General features: G+C 45.1%; 1 annotated feature.

Moving 5' to 3' along the window:
* Positions 12,445-12,739: an enhancer, noted in NCBI's record as "tiled region #10830; HepG2 Activating DNase matched - State 8:EnhW". NCBI's record gives its function as "activates a minimal TATA promoter and a strong SV40 promoter by Sharpr-MPRA in HepG2 cells {active_cell/tissue: HepG2}" and the evidence as "EXISTENCE:reporter gene assay evidence [ECO:0000049][PMID:27701403]".

The raw sequence follows: 19,892 nt of genomic DNA, 5'->3' as shown, positions 1-19,892 counted from the left end.
GAAACCTCCCTGACTGCATGTCCGTTTATAGGCTTTCTGCAGGGGGAAGCACATCATGCGCTGTTGGCTCATTCTGGCAGCCCAACCTGGCATTGTCTTTACACAATTCTGCATGCAATTTTGTATTTACAATAATTAGGAGCATTTCATCTTTATTCCATAGCAATAGTTTTAGGGGGTCTCCCTACACTGGTCTTGAACTCCTGACCTTATGATCCACCCGCCTCGGCCTCCCAAAGTGCTGGGAATGCAGGCATGAGCCACCATGCTCAGCCAATTTTTGTGTTTTTAGTAGAGATGGGGTTTTGCCATGTTGGCCAAGCTGGTCTCGAACTCCTGGCCTCAAGTGATCCGCCTGCTTGGATCCGCCCTCAAGTATTGGGATTACAGGCACGAGACACCATGCCCGGCCTAAAATTCTTTTATCAGATATTAGCCTATCAAATCAAATGCAGCATTAAAAAAGATAACATGGCCAGGTGTGGTGGCTCACGCCTGTAATCCCAGCACTTTGAGAGGCCGAGGTGGGAAGATAATGAGGTCAGGAGATTGAGACCATCCTGGCTAACATGGTGAAACCCCGTCTCTACTAAAAATACAAAAAATTAGCCGGGTGTGGTGGCGGGTGCCTGTAGTCCCAGCTACTCAGGAGGCTGAGGCAGGAGAATGGCGTGAACCCGGGAGGCAGAGCTTGCAGTGAGCCGAGATCGCGCCACTGCACTCCAGCCTGGGCGATAGAGCCAGACTCATCTCAAAAACAAAAAACAAGAACAAAAACAAAAAACAAAAAATAAAAAATAAAAAAGGTAACATGTTCAAGTAGTATAGATGCCAAGAATTCAAAGATGATTTAACATAAGAAAAATCTGTTAATATAATAGATTTAGAGAGTACAGAAAAATAGATTAAATGTGTACAAAAGAAAACAATTACACAATGCAGAAAAAACACTCAGCAAAAGTTCAGCTCTGATTTATGATGAAATCTTTCTGGACTCTAGCTGTTTCTACGTTGTTGCTCCATCGTTTCAATCTGTGGCTTCCATCACATGTTCCAAGATGTCTGCCCCTCCTGTTATGACACATTCCGGACAAGAGAAAGGGGAAAAGGGAAGGAGAATGGCGCATTCTCTCTCTGTCTATGCAGACACTTCCATCACTTCACTTTATATCTCTTTGATCAGAATTAGTCCCAGGGCCACAGATAGCTGCAAATGGGGCTGAGAAATGAACTTTATTCCATGAGGCCACATTCTTGCTAAAAACACAGGATTCTATTTTGTAGAGAAGGAGTCAGTAAACTTTGGCCCTCACCTGCTTCTGTAAATAAAGCTTTCTTTTTCTATTTTTTTTTTTTTTTCTGAGACGGAGTCTCTCTCCGTTGCCCAGGTTGAAGTGCAATGGCACAATCTCGGCTCACTGTAACCTCTACCTCTCAGGTTCAAGCAGTTCTCGTGCCTCAGCCTCCCAAGTAGCTGGGATTACAGACGTGCACCACTATGCCCGGCTAATGTTTTGTATTTTTTCTTTTTTTTTTTTTTTTAGTACAGACGGGGTTTCACCATGTTCGCCAGACTGTTCTCGAACTCCTGGCCTCAGGTGATCTGCCCATCTCAGCCTCCCAAAGTGTTGGGATTACAGGTGTGAGCCACCACACCTGGCCAGTTTTTTTTTTTTTTTTTTTTTTTTTTTTTTGCAACAAGGTCTGGCTCTGTCGCCCAGGCTGGAGTGCAGCGGCGTGATCTTGACTCACTGCAGCCTCTGGATCTTGACTCACTGCAGCCTCTGCCTTCCAGGCTCAAGTGATCCTCTTGCCTCAGCCTCCCAAGTAGCTGGGATTACAGGCGCAAGCCACCATACCCTGCTAATTTTTGTATTTTTTTGTAGAGACGGGGTTTCACCATGTTGCTCAGGCTGGTCTTGAACTCCTGTGCTCAAGTGATCTACCCGCCTTCGCCTCCAAAGTGCTGGGTTACAGGAATGAGCCACGGATCCCGGCCTGTAAATAAAGTTTTATCGGAACACAGCCATGCCTGTTTGTTTACATGTCATTTATGACCACAGCAACAGCAGAATTGAGTAGTTATGATAAAGACTGTATGACCTGGTAAGCCTAAAATACTTGCTATCTGGCCCTTTATAGGAGATGTTTCTGGACCTCTGGTGTAGCAAGAAGGGGATAATTGGTATTAGGGGTAATTAGAAGCCTCCGTTATAGTGCTATTATTGCTGTTCAGCATCATCCTGGGCATGGTAGCCAAACTGCACAAGACAGAAAAAGACATTAAAAGTTGTAAGAATTGGAAAGGAAGAGATAAAACAATATGCTCACCTATACAGAAAATCAACACCATCAACAAACAAACAAACAATTCGACCTAATAAGAGGCTTCGGCAGGTGTATTAGTCTATCACCACAATAACACATGAAGAACATACAAGAAGAAACTTAAATTCTTTCCAAATTAACATATACATTCAACGCAATAAAAATAAAATTTCAATTGATTTTCTTTTTGAGATGGATTCTCCCTCTGTCACCCAGGTGGGAGTACAATGGTGTAATCTCACCTCACTGCAACCTCCGCCTCCAGGTTCAAGCGATTCTCCTGCCTCAGCCTCTCAAGTAGCTGGGAGTACAGGTGCCCGCCACCACGTCCAGCTAATTTTTGTATTTTTAGTAGAGATGGGGTTTCACCGTGTTGGCCAGACTGGTCTTGAACTCCTGACCTCAAGTGATCCACCTGCCTCAAACTCCCAAAGTGCTGGGATTAGAGGAGTGAGCCACTGCGCCCGACCTCAATTGGATTTTTAAAAGCAATGCAACAACTTTAAAAAAAATATATGTGGCAAGATAAAAGTCAATATGGGAAAAAAAGGAGAAATTGGAGGAAGGGGGAACTAGCCTTATTAGACTTTAAAATATATTACAAAGCCATAGTAATAAAAATAGCACAGTAATGATACAAGAATAGACGGATAAACCAATGTTATAGAATAAAGAGCCGAGAGACAGAACTGTGCCTACATGGGAACTTAATATACAATAAAGGTAACATCTCAAATTGGTAGAAGAAAGACATTATTGGGAAAACTGGCTCACTCTATGAAGATAAGTAAAACTGGATTCATACCTAACATCACAGGCAAAGGTGGATGTTGGATAGATTGAAGACCTAAACATATAACATAAAATTACAGAACTAGTAGGAAAAAAGAAAGAAAGAAAAATCTATACTACTAAGAGTATAGAAGGGTTTCTTCTTCTTCTTTTTTTTTTTTTTGAGACAGAGTCTTGCTCTGTCGTCAGGCTGGAGAGCAGTGGCGTGATCTTGGCTCACTGCAACCTCTGCCTCCCAGGTTCAAGCAATTCCCCTTCTTAGCCTCCTGAGTAGCTGGGAATACAGGCATGCGCCACCACGCCCAGCTAATTTTTCGAATTTTAGTAGAGACGGGGTTTCACCCTGTTGGCCAGGCTGGTCTCCATCTCCTGACCTCATGATCCACCCACCTTGGCCTCCCAAAGTGCTGGGATTACAGGTGTGAGCCATCGCGCCCGGCTGAAGAGCTTGTTAAATAAGGCCTCCGAAGCACATTCCAAAAAGCCAAAAAAAATTTGTGAAATTGCATGAAAATGATAAATTTCAGTTCAACAGCAATGTATCAGGTAGGCTCCCAGCAAGCAACAGATGGCACACCCAAAAATGGGTAAGTGCAAGATTTCATAATATAGGGACTCTCTGCAAAGGTGTGAACAGGCTTAGGGAAGCCACAAGATGGAGCAAGAACCTAGGCATCCCAGAGTGGGGAGCTGTTACCACCTCCAGGACCGCAGGGAGAGGGCCTCCCAACAGGAGCTGTGATACTCAGTTGCAGGGGGCAGCTAACCCACAGCCACTCTACAGGGAGGGGCCGGGGAGTTAATATCCTCACTTCCCTCTCTTCCTGGAAGAGGGCTGGAAGCCAGATGGCAAGGGAGCGATTTGATGCAGTCATACAGCTCAGCCTCCCAGGCCACAGAACAACATGGAGAAGGATAGAGTGTGGATCTGGAAGGACAAATGGAAGACATTCAACACAGAAGGAGACCAAGATGAAGAAATACACAGGAAACCTATTGGAAAAGTGGCATCAGGTATAAACAAGCAGTTCACAGATGAGGAAGCCTGGGGTTCTAATGTGCATATGAAGACATGTTTACAATCACTAGTGACTAACTAGAGAAATCAAACACGAGTGAGCCATCTGTTTACACCCATCCAATTGACAAACATTAAGAGGAAGTCAATTGCTGCCAAGGTTGTGGGAGAAGCTGCTGATGGGAGGATAAATTGGAATAGCCATTCTGCAAGATATTTACTGGAATTAAGAATACATAGTATCAGGACGGGCACGATGGCTCACGCCTGTAATCCCAGCACTTTGGGAGGCCGAGGCGGGTGAATCATGAGGTCAGGAGTTCGAGACCAGCCTGACCAACATGATGAAATCCTGTCTCTACTAAAAATACCAAAATAAGCCGGGCATGGTGGCGTGCGCCTGTAATCCCAGCTACTCAGGAGGCTGAGGCAGTAGAATCGCTTGAATTCGGGAGGTGGAGGTTGCAGTGAGCCGAGATCGAGCCATTGCACTCCAGCCTGGGCAACAGAGGGAGACTTTGTCTAAAAAAAAAAAAAAATGCATATTATCGGCCGGGCATGGTGGCTCATGCCTGTAATCCCAGCACTTTGGGAGGCCGAGGTGGGTGGATCACTTCAGGTCAAGAGTTCTAGACCAGCCTGGTCAACACAGTGAAACCCCGTCTCTACTAAAAATACAACAGTAACAACAAAAATTAGCTGGACTTGGGGGCGGGCACCTGTAATCCTTGCCACTTGGGAGGCTGAGACAGGAGAATCGCTTGAACCCAGGAAGCAGAGATTGCAGTGAGCCAAGATTGTGCCATTGCACTCCAGTCTGGGTGACAAGAGTGAAACTCCGTCTCGAAAAAAAAAAAAAGATGATCCCTGAAAATCCTACTTCCAGATACATACACCAGAGAGAATCTCTGACAGGTCCATTATGGGGCACTGTGAAGATGTTCACTGCAGTGCTGTTTGGGTAGCAAGGAGCTGGAGGCAGCCTGGGTGCCTACTGAGAGCAGAATGCGGGAAACATGTCTGATGGGCTACTATCCAGCATTTAGGACTCGCCTGTAATCCCAGCACTTTGGGAGGCCAAGGCAGGCGGATCACCTGAGGTTGGGAGTTCGAGACCAGCCTCACCAATATGGGGAAACCCCGTCTCTACTAAAAATACAAAAAATCAGCCGGGCATGGTGGCAGGAGCCTGTAGTCCTAGCTATTTGGAAGCCTGAGGCAGAGCACTCCAGCCTGGGTGACAGAGTGAGTGAGACTCCGTCTCGAAAAAAAACAAAAACAAAAAACAGTGACTAGATATACACAGAACAACATGAATAGACCTAATATCAGCATTAAATGAGAAGTAGAAAACAGAATGCAGTTTAGAACACGACAACATTGATTAATGTCAAAAGCCTATGCACACAACTCCACTTTGTAATTTTCCAGGATCCAGCTATTTTCAAGGACATACATCAAACCTATTCAAATGGATTTTTTTTTTTTTTTTTTTTTTTTTTGAGACAGAGTTTTACTCTTGTTGCCCAGGCTGGAGTGCAATGGCGTGATCTTGGCTCACTGCAACCTCTGCCTCCTGGATTCAAGTGATTCTCCTGCCTCAGCCTTCTGAGTAGCTGGGTTTACAGGTGCCTGCCACCACGCCCGGCTAATTTTGTATTTTTAGTAGGGATGGGGTTTTGCCATGTTGTCCAGGCTGGTCTCGAACTCCTGACCTCAGGTGATCCTCCCACCTTGGCCTCCTAATGTGCTGAGATTACAGGCATGAGTCACTGTGCCTGGCCTCAAGTGGGTTCTTAAGGAAGGGAGGGGAATTCAAGGGTGCAATGAGGATGAAGAGGAAACATGAAAATAAGGAAGGGCCTTGAACATATGGAGGCCGAGAGCGCGCCTGGAACTGAGGATGGGAGCAAGTCACACCTCACCACTGTCCAGCAGGAGCAACGCATAGGTGCATCTCAACTCCCACACCTGACATCACCCTTAATGGAGAGAGATGATAAATATTTCCACTAAACACAGGATCAAGAGAAGGAACTCATTGTCACAGTAGTTCTGAAGGTCGATCCTGAGAAGAAAATCAGAATAAAAAGATGAGGAAGGAGGAGGTCAGTTTTTGTACATTTGCGGACACTATGTACTTACTATTGTGATGCGGTAGGGACGCCACAGCACCGCCTGCGCGACGTTGTTGTCAGAGAACCTTGAACTGAATCTGGTTAGCAGTAACTACCAGCTTATTGGAAATGCAGTGGGAGGGGAACATCCACACAGGCATGCATGCCGTCAGATCCAGAAGGCGGAAGATTTTACAGCCAACTTATGCTTTCTTCAACAACGAAAAAAAATGGTAAGAAACAAAAAAAAGAGGGGCCAGGTGCAGTGGCTCACGCCTGTAATCCTAGTACTTTGGGAGGCTGAGGCAGGGAGATCACTTGAGCTCAGGAGTTCGAGACCAGCCTGGGCAACAACCCTGTCTCTGCAAGAAATACAAAAATTAGTTGGGCGTGGTGGCGTGTGCTTGTAGTCCCAGCTACTCTGGAGGCTGAGGTGGGAGGATCACCTGAGCCAAGAAATGTCAAAGCTGCAGTGAGCCGTGATTGCACCACTGCACTCCAGCCTGGGCAACAGAGTGAGACCCTGTCTAAAAAAAAAAAAAAAAAAAAGCAATAGACTTAGATGAAATATTTGCAATATTTATAACAGTTAATTAATATCCAGACTATAAAGAACCCCTACACAATGACAAGAAAAAAACAACAACAACCCATTGGAGAAATGGGCAAAGAATATTATAGTAAACATTCATGATTTGTATTTTAGAGAGCCCCTTATAATGTGCATACTTCAGGGGGCACCAGTAGCCACAGAACCGAATTCTTCATCTCTCCCCCACCCCCCAGTGTAGCAGGAGGGGGGTGGCATGTGCCATGGGTATCACCCACCTGGCAATCTCTCCCAGAACATTGAGTCTTGAGTGTATGATGCAAATTTGTAGAAATAGTTGGGAGGTCATGTGTAAGAATTTTTTTTTTTTTTTTTTTTGAGATGGAGTTCCACTCTGTCGCCCAGGCTGGAGTGCAGTGGCTCAATCTCGGCTCACTGCAACCTCCGCCTCCCAGGTTCAAGCAATTCTCCTGCCTCAGCCTCCCGAGTGGCTGGGATTACAGGCGCCTGCCACCACGCCTGGCTAATTTTTTGTATTTTTAGTAGAGACACGGTTTCACCGTGTTGGCCAGGCTGGTCTTGAACTCCTGACCTCAGGTGATCCGCCCGCCTTGGCCTCCCAAAGTTCTGGAATTACAGGTGCGAACCACTGGGCCTGGCCCGAATCTTCTTCTTTATTGCTTCAAGTTAACTGTGCTTGGGGGATAAAGGGAGGAGTCTGAATTTGTGGTGAGGCAGATAGGGGGACACTGCAGTACTTTGAAGGAGTTACAAGCTTCTTAGAGGTATTAGAGAGAGGTTCCACACCTAAGGCTGAAGAATGCAGGGTTACAGCAGGACCCGTGTGTGTGTGTGTGTGGGGTGGGGGGGGCGGTGTGTGTCTACTCCAGGCCAGACTGGTCCCAGCTCTGCTCAACAGCTATGTAGAGTGAGTGTGATATTTCTTGGCAATGGGGAAACCAACTGGTTCAAGTGATTCTCCTATAAAACTCAATTGCCTCACTATGAGCCAGAATCCCATAGGAGGTCTGCCTTAGTTTGGGTGTCTCCCAAAAGCAGAGCCTGAGAGAAGGACTTGAGGAAGATAGTTTTCTTGGGAGCTGATCCCAGAAAGCAGGAGTGAAAAAGAGGAGGGAGTGAGACGGGGAAGGAGGCAAGCCCAATCGGGGTGCATTGTCAAGGCTGCTGCACATTTTGGGTGATGGGGCTCACCAGCATCTCCAAGCATACAGAATGGTTGATCTGAAGGAGGGGTGGCTGGAGGATTTACCCACCAGCTTCCATTCCCCGTGGGCATGAACTCCCCAGCAGGTCTGAGCTGTGCTGTATTGGCTGAGCAAGCTTCTATTGGTGCTAGAGAAAGCCCTGGGGCAGAGAGTGTGGCTCATGCTTGAGGAGGGGTATTTTCAGCACAAGGACCTGGTTGAGTTCTGATGGAACTGTCTACTTTTGTTGTGGCTGAAATCAGCGGGTCAAGGGGGTGCAACGTGGGACACCAGAGGTGCCTACTGTAAGACCCCACACCCAATCTCCAGTAAGAATCTGGGAATGCACAATAGCAACCAAACCATAAAACACCCAAGAATGAACTGAAGAAACGTGTGAGATGTGGATGAGAACAACCATAACACTCTAATGGGCCGGGCGCGGTGGCTCACGCCTGTAATCCCAGCACTTTAGAAGGCCGAGGCGGGCGGATCACGAGGTCAGGAGATCGAGACCATCCTGGCTAACACGGTGAAACCCCATCTCTACTAAAAATATTTTAAAAAATAGCCAGGCGTGGTGGCGGGCGCCTGTAGTCCCAGCTACTCGGGAGGCTGAGGCAGGAGAATGGCACGAATCCGGGAGGCGGAGCTTGCAGTGATGGCGCCACTGCACTCCAGCCTGGGCGACAGAGCGAGACTCCATCTCAAAAAAAAAAAACAAAACAAAAAAACAACTATAATGAAGGCCATAAAAATACTTCATATAGTCAACTTGACTATGACGTCTCCATATTGCTATGATGTCAAGTTTCCCTAGATTGAGCTATAAATTCAAGGTTATGCAAATGAAAATTCCTGGGCAATGTATTTTTGCAATTGGACAAAATGAGCCTAAATTCATCTAGAAGACTAAACATGTGAGAGTAGCCAGCAGAAAAAATTTAAAAGAACAATAATAAGGGGACTTGTCCTATCAGATGTTAAAATATATCATAGGTTGAAGGGGGCCTACCCCTCCACACCTGTGAGTATTTCTCCCAAGGTGGAGATGAGAGACTGAGAAAAGAAATAAGACACAGAGACAAAGTATAGAGGAAGAAAAGTGGGCCCAGGGGACTGGCACTCAGCAAGTGAAGACCTGCACCTGCGCTGGTCTCTGAGTTCCCTCAGTATTTATTGATCACTATCTTTACTATCTCGGCGAGGGGAATGCGGTGTGACTATAGGGTGATGGTGGGGAGAGGGTCAGTAGGAAAACACGTGAACAAAAGACTCTGTGTCATAAATAAGTTTAAGGAAAGGTGCTGTGCCTGGATGTGCACGTAGGCTACATTTATATTTAACTTTACATGAACATCTCAGAGCAGTAAAGAGTAACAGAGCAGTACTGCCACCATGATGTCTCGCCTCCAGCCATAAGGCGGTTTTCTCCTATCTCAGAATAGAATGTATGCTCGGTTTTACACCGAGTCATTCCATTCCCAGGGACGTGCAGGAGACAGATGCTTTCCTCTTAACCTCATAGAGGCCTTCCTCTTTCACTACTCCTCCTCAGCACAGACCCTTTACGGGTGTCGGGCTGGGGGATGTAAGGTCTTTCCTTTCCCAGGAGGCCATATCTCAGGCTATCTCCGTGGGGGGAAACCTGGACGATACTCAGGCTTTCTTGGGCAGGGGTCCCTGCAGCCTTCCGCGGTGCATTGTGTCTCTGGTTAATAGAGAGTGGAGAATGGCAATGACTTTCACAAAGCATACAGCCTGCAAACACATTTTTAACAAAGTGCATCCTGCACAGCCCTAAATCCCTTAAACTTTGAGTTTAAGGGATTGTTTTTGTGAGCACAGGGTTGAGACAAGAGTTACAGATTCACAGCATCTCAAAGCCGAACAACTTTTCTTAGTACAGATCAAAATGGAGTTTCTAATGTCCTCCTTTTTCTACATAGACACAGTAACAATCTGATCTCTCTTTCTTTTCCCCACAATAGATCTACATAATTAAAACACACTTGGCACTGGCATAGGGATGGAGAGAGGAGTCAGTGACATGGAATAGACTCCAGAAACGGATCCAGGGAATTAGTTGAGGGTGTCTTGGCTGTAAGTGACAGAAATTCAGTGAGAACCAGCTTAATTAATAAAGAAGGGAAGAAGTTATATGAAAAAGACACATGGCCTGGGCGCAGTGGCTCATGCCTGTAATCCCAGCACTTTGGGAGGCCGAGGTGGGTGGATCACCTGAGGTCGGAAGTTCAAGACCAGCCTCACCAACATGGAGAAACCCCGTCTCTACTAAAAATACAAAATTGGCTGGGTGTGGTGGCACGTGCCTGTAATCCCAGCTACTTGGGAGGCTGAGACAGGAGAATTGCTTCAACCCAGGAGGCGGAGGTTGCGGTGAGCGGAGATTGCGCCATTGCACTCCAGCCTGAGCAACAAGAGCGAAACTCCGTCTCAAAAAAAAGAGAAGAAAAGAAAAGAAAGAAAAAGACACATGCATCATGCATATGTTTATTGTGGGCCAATTCACAATTGCAAAGATATAGAACCAACCTACATGCCCATCAAGCAATAAGTAGATAAAGAAAATGTGGTGTAGGGGCGTGGTGGCTCATGCCTGTAATCCCAGCACTTTGGCAGTCTGAGGCGGGTGGATCACTCGAGGTCAGGAGTTCAAGACCAGCCTGGCCAACGTGGCGAAACCTCCTCTCTACTAAAAATACAAAAATTTGCTGGGCTTGGTAGTGTGCACCTATAGTCCCAGCTACTTGGGAGACTGAAGCAGGAGAATCGCTTGAACTTGGGAGGCGGAGGTTGCAGTGAGCCGAGTTGCACCACTACACTCCAGCCTGGGCGACAGAACAAGACTCTATCTCAAAAAAAAAAAAAAAAAAAAAAGAAATAAAGAAATGTGGTATATATACACCACGGAATACTACCCAGCCATAAAAAGGAACAACATAATGTATTTTGCAGCAACTTGGATGGTGCTGGAGGCCATTATTCTAAGTGAAGTAACTCAGCAATGGAAAACCAAATACCGTATGTTCTCACTCATAAGTGGGAGCTGAGCTATGAATACGCAAAGGCATACAGAGAGCTATGATGGACTTTGGAGACTCAGAAGGGCTGAGTGGGGTGGTGGATAAAAGCAGGGGTGTGGAATTAAACACTACATATTGAGTACAACGTACACTACCCAGGTGACAGGTGCACTGAAATCTCAGACTTCACCACTATTCAGTTCATCAATGTAACCAAAAGCCACTTGTACCCCAAAAGCTATTGAAATAAAATTGTTTAAAAAAAGAAGGGAGTTTATCAGAAAGACAGCAGAATATCTCAGGGGTCTCTGGGCCAGGTTGCTACTGGGCCTTGTGTCAGAATGGGGATGGGTGCTTTTTCAGTCAGGGACCTGGGAAGTTCTCTCTGTGCTTGAGCTCTACCTCCTTGAGAGGTTCAGAGGCTCTGTCTCACTTTTTCCTCTTATAGTGGACTGGCTTCTCTGCTTTTCAGTTCAAATCTTTTTTTTTTTTTTTTTTTTTGAGACGCAGTCTCGATCTGTCACCAGGCTGGAGTGCAGTGGCACAATCTTGGCTCACTGCAACCTCCGCCTCCTGGGTTCAAGTGATTCTCCTGCCTCAGCTTCCTGAGTAGCTGGGACTACAGGCACACGCCACCATGCCTGGCTAATTTTTGTATTTTTAGCAGAGACTGGGTTTCACCATGTTGGCCAGGATGGTCTCCATCTCTTGACCTCGTGATCCGCCCACCTCGGCCTCCCAAAGTGCTGGGATTACAGGTGTGAGCCACCGCGCCCGGCCTCAATTCAAATCTTTACGACACTCCTGAATTTTTTTTTTTTTGGTTTTTAATTTTTTCATCCAACCCAAAATGTCAAACTCCTGAGTTTTATAGCTTGCAGATTCTCCCCCAGTTCTTTTTTAAAATTAAAGTGTTAGATTTATTTTAACACACCTGAATTGAGTGTTGAAAGGTGAAACAAATGCACAAGAACATATATGCAGTATTTCAAAGAGGAAGTATTTTCAAAAATGATGCTGTAGAAGAGATAAAGAATGTAATAATGGGGAATAGTTTAATCAAGAAGTTCTTATGGCATTTGATTTTAAACCATATGTAAATACAGCAGTCTCTGAAGAATTTGGCAAAGATTTTTTTTTCTATTTTCAGTCTTTTAAAGTAGATACAGATTTGCTTAGGATAAAGCTGACTTTAAGAGCACACAAAAGTTGAGCACAAAGTATAGGATGAAATTCAGAAATGCAGAGTGATGAAGAGGAAAAGATATGGAGTAGGCGCCTTCAACAGAAAACTGACCATCCAGGGCGATTACCTAATAGTCTCTCCTCTCTCTCTCTTTCTCTTTCTCTCTCTTTCTCTTTCTCTCTCTTTCTCTTTCTCTCTCTTTCTGTCTTCCCCCCCGCTCCCAAGTAGTGGGAAAGACACTGATTGGCTCTGTTGGATCAGCTGACTAACACTGGCCTGATCGATTGCAGCCAAAGGTCATGCCATGGCTGCTGCGGTGACCGCATGCGAAGGAGGGGAGAGTTCACAGAAACGTGGAGGCGGTGTTGGCGGTGGGATGTGGGGGAGGGAAAGCCAACAGTAGCCATCTCCTACATGCAAGTGCATATAGGAATTCAGTAGCTCACCAAGGAGGAGTTTCAACTCAGAGGAGGAGAAAAGATGAGTAAATGGTGGGGCGTAGGACATTGCTATCCAATCCATTGATCCCATAACTTTTTTTTTTTTAACTTTTGATGACGATAATAATGTACTTCTTTTTTTCTTTTTTTTTGAGGCAGTCTCGCTCTGTCGCCCAGGATGGAGTGCAGTGGCAAGATCTCGGCTCACTGCAACCTCCGCCTCCTGGGTTCATGCCATTCTCCTGCCTCAGCCTCCCAAGTAGCTGGGACTACAGGCGCCCATCACCACGCTGGGCTAATTTTTTATATTTTTAGTAGAGATGGGTTTCACCATGTTAGCCAGGATGGTCTCGATCTCCTGACCTTGTGATCCGCCCGCCTCAGCCTCCCGGAGTTCTGGGATTACAGGCATGAGCCACCGCGCCCGGCCAAAGAATGTATTTCTTATGTGTGAACTTTCTCAGTTCTGAACGCCTGGAATAATACTTCTCAAAAATTCTGTTTTTTTTTTTTTTTTTTTGAGATGGGGTATTGTTCTGTCACCCAGGCTGGAGTGCAGTGGCACCATCTCGGCTCACTGCAACCTCCACCTCCCAGGTTCAAGCGATTCTTCCACCTCAGCCTCCCGAGTAGGTGGGACTACAGGCGCGTGCCACCACGTCTGGCTAATTTTTGTATTTTTATTAGATTTGGGGTTTCACCATATTGGGCTGGCTGGTCTCAAACTCCTGACCTCGTGATCTGCCCGCCTCGGTCTCCCAAAGTGCTGGGATTACAGGCGTGAGCCACTGTGCCTAGCCAAAAATTCTGGCTAAAGGGTTATACTTCATCCTAACTGAATAAAGAAATGGTAGAATCAATACAAAGAGCTATGGCTCCTTTTCTATGAATTAAGAACTCAAGAACTTCTTCCCTCCCCACCTAAAGTCGCTTGCTTTTCCATAAATAAAACCTTTGAAACAGCCACTGAATGCATAACCTGTATGGTGGAAAACATTCTGTGGGCAATATCTTAATGCTTTGCTAAAATGAACCGTTCCATGATGTATTTCTACCAGTTGGTTCCCCAAAGCCCTTCCCACTAAATACAATGCCTTTAGCACAACAGACACTTTTAACATAAATTCATTCTATATTCAGATTTTTCAATTATAGTGCTTATGCTGTCATTTTTGTCAGGATAATAATAACAGGTATAAATAGCTCTCTTTCTGTAATCTAAAACCAACTGTAAAAGAAAGTAGACACCAAGATACCAAAAATATTTCATACTTAAAGCCAAATGCATTTAGTTCTTTTCCATGCAGCACGTCATAACAAAGTATCTATGCACTTACTGTTTCTTTTCCAAAGCAGCAATTTGGGCCAAACTTTGAGGATCTACTTGTCCCCCATGGTGAGTCATCTTACAATTTTTTTTTTTTTTTCCTTTGGAGACAGAGTCTTGCTCTGTCACCCAGGCTAGAGTGCAGTGGCACTATCTCGGCTCACTGCAACCTCCATGATATGGTTTGGCTGTGTCCCCACCCAAATCTCATCTTGAATTGTAGCTCCCATAATCCCCACATGTGGTAGGAGGAACCCAGTGGGAGGTAATTGAAACATGGGGGCAGGTCTTTCCTGTGCTGTTCTCCTGATGGTGAATAAGTCTCAGGAGATCTGATGGTTTTATAAATGGGAGTTCCGACACACAGACTCTCTTGCCTGCTGCCATATAAGACGTATCTTTGCTCCTTCTTTGCCTTCTGCCGTGATTGTGAGGCTTCCCCAGCCATGTGAAACTGTGAGTCCATTAAACCTCTTCTTCTTTATAAATTAGTCTCAGGTATGTCTTTATTAGCAGTGTGAGAACAGACTAATACAGTAAATTGGTACTGGTAGAGTGGGATGCTGCTGTAAAGATAGCTGATAATGTGGAAGCAACTTTGGAACTGGGTAGTGGGCAGAGGTTGGAACAGTTTGGAGGGCTCAGAAGAAGACAGGAAAATGTGGGAAAGTTTGGAACTTCCTAGAGACTTACTGAATGTCTTTGACCAAAATGTTGATAGTTATATGGATGATAAAGTCCAGGCTGATGTGGTCTTAGATGGGGGTGAGGAACTTGTTGGGAACTGGAGCAAAAGTGACTCTTACTGTGCTTTAGCAAAGAGACTGGCAGCTTTTTCTCCCTGCCCTAGAGATATGTGGAACTCTGAACTTAAGAGAGATGATTTTGGGTATCTGGTGGAATAAGTTTCTAAGCAGCAAAACATTCAAGAGGAAGCATTGCATAAAAATTTGGAAAATTTGCAACCTGACGATGCAATAGAATAGAAAAACCCGGCTGGGCATGGTTGCTCACACTTGTAATCCCAGCACTTTGGGAGGGAGAGGAGGGCGGATCACCTGAGGTCGGGAGTTCAAGACCAGCCTGACCAACATGGAGAAACCTCGTCTCACTAAAAATACAAAATTAGCCGGGCATGGTGGTGCATGCCTGTAATCCCAGCTACTTGGGAGGGTGAGGCAGGAGAATCACTTGAACCTGGGAGGCCTCTGCCGGTGAGTCAAGATCACACCATTGCACTCCAGCCTGGGCAACAAGAGCGAAATTCCGTCTCAAAAAAAAGAAAAAAAAGAAAAAAGAAATTGGAGGGAGTATAAATAAGAACAGTTACTATGGAAGACACTGTAAAGGACATAAAGAATAGAAATGAGAAAAGTGAACCAATGAAGTGGAAATATGGTAGATTAAAAACAATATGGGAAAATTATGTATATATATACATATATATAAGATGCAAAGGAAATTAAATATGCAATATATGCATAGTTGAAATCTCTAAAAAATAAAACCAAAACAATAGATAAAACATACAGCTAAAGATATAATTCAAGAAAGTTTTCTTGAAATTGGCCAGGCATGGTGGCTAATGCCTGTAACCCAGGCGTTTTGGGAGGCCAAGGAGGGAGGATCACTTGAGGCCAGGAGTTCGAAACCAGACCAGGTAACATAGTGAGACTCTGTCTCTCCTTTAAAAAGAAAAGAAAGTTCTCCTGAAATAAAAGAGGCTTGAATCTATGATGAAAGAGAAAGCTAGATGTCAGGGAAAACTGATCAAGAATGTTTTTGTTGAGACCTGGCCTAGTAAAGTTATTGAGTTTTAAAAATAAAGAAATTTATGAGCAGCCAGGAAAAAAGATAAATTCCTTTTTTCTTTTAGGGGATAAAAATCAGGCTAGCCTTGGATGTCTGCAGACCCATGTTGAATGCTGGAAGAGATGGAGCAAGTAGTCAAGGAAAGAAAACATGAGTCAGGGATTTCATTAAAAGACCATAAAGTTTTTTTCCCTCTCCCCTCTCCCCTCCTTCTGGCAACCACTGATCTTTTTACTGTCTCAATAGTTTTGCCTTTCCAGAATATAGTATAATATAGTTGGATATATATAATTTATAGCTTTTTCAGACTGACTTCTTCTTTTTGTTTTTTATTGTTTGTTTGTTTGTTTTTGAGACAGAGTTTTGCTCTCGTTGCCCAGGCTGGAGTGCAATGGTGTGATCTTGGCTCACCGCAACTTTTGCCTCTTGGGTTCAAGTGATTCTCCTGCCTCAACCTCCCGAGTAGCTGGGATTACAGGCATGCGCCACCACGCCCGGCTTGACTGACCTCTTTCACTTAGCAATATACACTTAAGCTTCCTCCATGTCTTTTCATGGCTTGATAGCTCATTTCTTTTTTAGCTGGATAATTTTCCTTTGCATGGATGTACCATAGTTTGCTTATCATTTCATGTACTGAAGGATCTGTTGGTTGCTTCCAATGTTTGGCAATTATGAAAAGCTGCTGTAGACATTTGTGTTGGGGTTTTCATGGGGATATAAGCATTCAACTCCTTTGGGTAAATACCTAGGAGCATGATTGCTGGATTGTATGGTAAGCCTATGTTTAGCTTTATTAGAAACTTCCAAACTGTCTTCCAGAGTGGTTATACTATTTTGCGTTCCAACCAGCAATGAATGAGAGTTTCTCTTGTTCCACATCCTTGCCAACATTTGGTGTTGTCAATGTTTTGGATTTTAGCCATTTTAATAGATGTGTAGCAGAGTTCAACTGTTATTTTATTTTATTTTATTTTATTTTATTTTATTTTTGAGACAGAGTCTTACTCTGCTGCCCAGGCTGGAGTGCAGTGATACGATCACTGCTCACTGCTGCCTTGACCTCTTGTCCTCCAGCAACCCTTCCACCTCAGCCTCCCAAGTAGCTGGAACCATGGTGTGTGGCACCAAGCCTGGCTAATTTAAAGAACGTTTTTTTGTAGAGACGGTGGTCTCCCTATGTTGCCCAGACTGGTCTCGAACTCCTGGGCACAAGTGATCCCCCAGCTTTGGCCACCCAGGTATGAGCCACCGTGCCTGACCATCCAAATGTTACTTTAATTTTAAATTCCCTAATGACATATGACGCTGAGCATCTTTTCATATGCTATTTGCCATATATGTGCCTTCTTTGGTGAGGTGTCTCTTCAGATATTTTGCCCATTTTGAAATTGTGTAGTTTATTTTCTTGATGTTCAGTTTTTGGAGTTTATTGTAAATTTTGGATACAACTCTTTATCAGATATGTGTTTTGGAAATATTTTCTCCCAGTCTGTGGCTTGTCTTTATTCTCTAAACCGTAGACAATTTTGAGAATGCATGATCTTAGGAAATATAGTTCTCATGAGCCCTTCTTGAAGAAATTACTGGAGGATAAACTCGAGTCAACTAAGGGCTAGCAAAAAAGTAAATTTTAGCAAAAGGAAGGCAGTGAATGTTTAATATATTTAACACAGAACTAAGACCAAAACAGGCCAGGTCCAGTGACTCACACCTGTAATCCCAGCACTTTGGGAGGCTGAGGCAGGTGTATCACTTGAGCCCAGGAGTTCCAGACCAGCCTGGACAACATGGCAAAACCCTGTGTCTACAAAAATTAGCCGGGTATGGTGGCTTGCCCCTGTAGTTCCAGCTACTTTGGAGGCTGATGTGGGAGGATTGCTTGAGCCTGGGAGGCAGAGGTGGCAGTGAGCTAAGATTATGCTCCTGTACTCAAGCCTGGGTGACAAAACAACAACAACAACAAACAAACCAAATTTAAAAGACTGGATAATTGTCTAGGAAAATGTTATTTATCAAAAAGACTCCAGGCCGGGCGTGGTGGCTCACACCTGTAATCCCAGCACTTTGGGAAGCTGAGGTGGGCGGATCACCTGAGGTTGGGAGTTTGAGACCAGCCTGACCAACATGGAGAAATCCCATCTCTACTAAAAATACAAAATTAGCCAGGCATGGTGGTGCATGCCTGTAATCCCAGCTACTCAGGAGGCTGAGACAGGAGAATCACTTGAACCTGGGAGATGGAGGTTGCAATGAGCTGAGATCGCAACATTGCACTCCAGCCTGGGCAACAAGAGTGAAATTCCATCTCAAAAACAAAAACAAAAAACACAAAAAACAAAAAAAAACAAAAAAAACTCCTCCAGAAGAGAAAAAATATAAACAAACATTTCTATAAAAGAAATACATAGGGCTGGGCGCGGTGGCTCACGCCTGTAATCCCAGCACTTTGGAAGGCCAAGGCGGGTGGATCACGAGGTCAGGAGATGGAGACCATCCTGGCTAACACGGTGAAACCCCGTCTCTACTAAAAATACAAAAAATACTCTGGGCGTGGTGGCGGGCGCCTGTAGTCCCAGCTACTCCGGAGGCTGAGGCAGGAGAATGGCATGAGCCTGGGAGGCGGAGCTTGCAGCGAGCCGAGATTGCAACACTGCACTCCAGCCTGGGCAACAGAGCAAGACTCCGTCTCAAAAAAAAAAAAAAAAAAAAAGGAAATACATAGACTGGGTGCGGTGGCTCACTCTTGTAATTCCAGCACTTTGGGAGGCCGAGGCGGGTGGATCACTTGAGGTCAGGAGTTCCAGACCACCCTGGCCAACATGGCGAAACCCCATCTCTACTAAAATTACAAAAATTAGCCGGGTGTGGTGGTGGGCGCCTGTAATCCCAGCTACTCGGAAGCCTGAGGCAGGAGAATCACTTGAACTCGAGAGGCAGAGGTTGCAGTGAGCTGAGATTGCACCTCTGCACTCCAGCCTGGGCAACAGAGTGAGACTCCATCTAAATAAAAAAGAAAAGAAAAGAAATAATGAATTAATTAACATATACATATTTGTAACAAACAAGAAAAGATACCCATGTTTGCTACAGCAGTTATTTCTGCCATGGTTGCAAAGCTGTAGTTGATGTAACTGCCTTCGTTTTTTTTTTTTTTTTTTTTTTTTTGAGACAGAATCTCCCTCTGTCTCCCAGGCTGGAGTGCAGTGGTGTGATCTTGGCTCACTGCAACCTCTGCCTCCTAGGTTCACGCAATTCTCCTGCCTCAGCCTCCCAAGTAGCTGGGATTACAGGCACCCGCCGCCACGCCCAGCTAATTTTTGTATTTTTAGTAGAGATGGGGTTTCACCATGTTTGCCAGGCTGGTCTCAAACTCCTGACCTCAAGTGATCCACCCACCTCAGCCTCCCAAAATGCTGGGATTACAGGCGTGAGCCACCGCGTCTGCCTGTCACTTCTTTCTTCCACTACCCATTGAATGTTCCCTCTGCCTTCAACCAGCACCTTGGCAGACAGGGGGTCTTTTTCTGATGGGAAAACACAAATCATCATTTCTGCAGGGTCTGAAGCCTTTATTGGGTTGTTATAGTTTCTGTGAAATTGTATTACAAGGCATTGGGCCCCCTGAGTTCTAGATACACCCCTTCCCCCACTGTGTAGCAGCAACCTCCTTTCCCCTTGATAACCAGGATCAGTCATCCCAGGCAGTCCAGGGACCTCTCTTTTCCTATTGCTCAGCGGTAGGAAGGGCCCCAAATGGCCACAGGGGAAACCTCCACTTCCAGTTCAGTGGAACTGATTATGTTTCCTGATGGAAGCATTTCACCCTTGGGAATTATGACCTCTAAAGTTGGTAGAACTCAAACACAGGTGAGTTATTAAATGTAATAGGGAGGCCTGGCATGGTGGCTCACCCTGTAATCCCAGCACTTTGGGAGGCCGAGGCGGGCAGATCACGAGGTCAGGAGTTCAAGACCAGCCCGGCCAACGTGGTGAAACCCCATCTCTACTAAAAAAAAAAAAAATACAAAAATCCCAGCTTCTCAGGAGGTTGAGGCAGGAGAATCACT

Source organism: Homo sapiens, chromosome 17 (genome assembly GCF_000001405.40).
Source record: "Homo sapiens chromosome 17, GRCh38.p14 Primary Assembly".
NCBI classification, from domain to species: domain Eukaryota; kingdom Metazoa; phylum Chordata; class Mammalia; order Primates; family Hominidae; genus Homo; species Homo sapiens.
The sequence above is the reverse complement of the archived record's forward strand: the minus strand, read 5'-3'. Positions and strand labels throughout refer to the sequence as shown.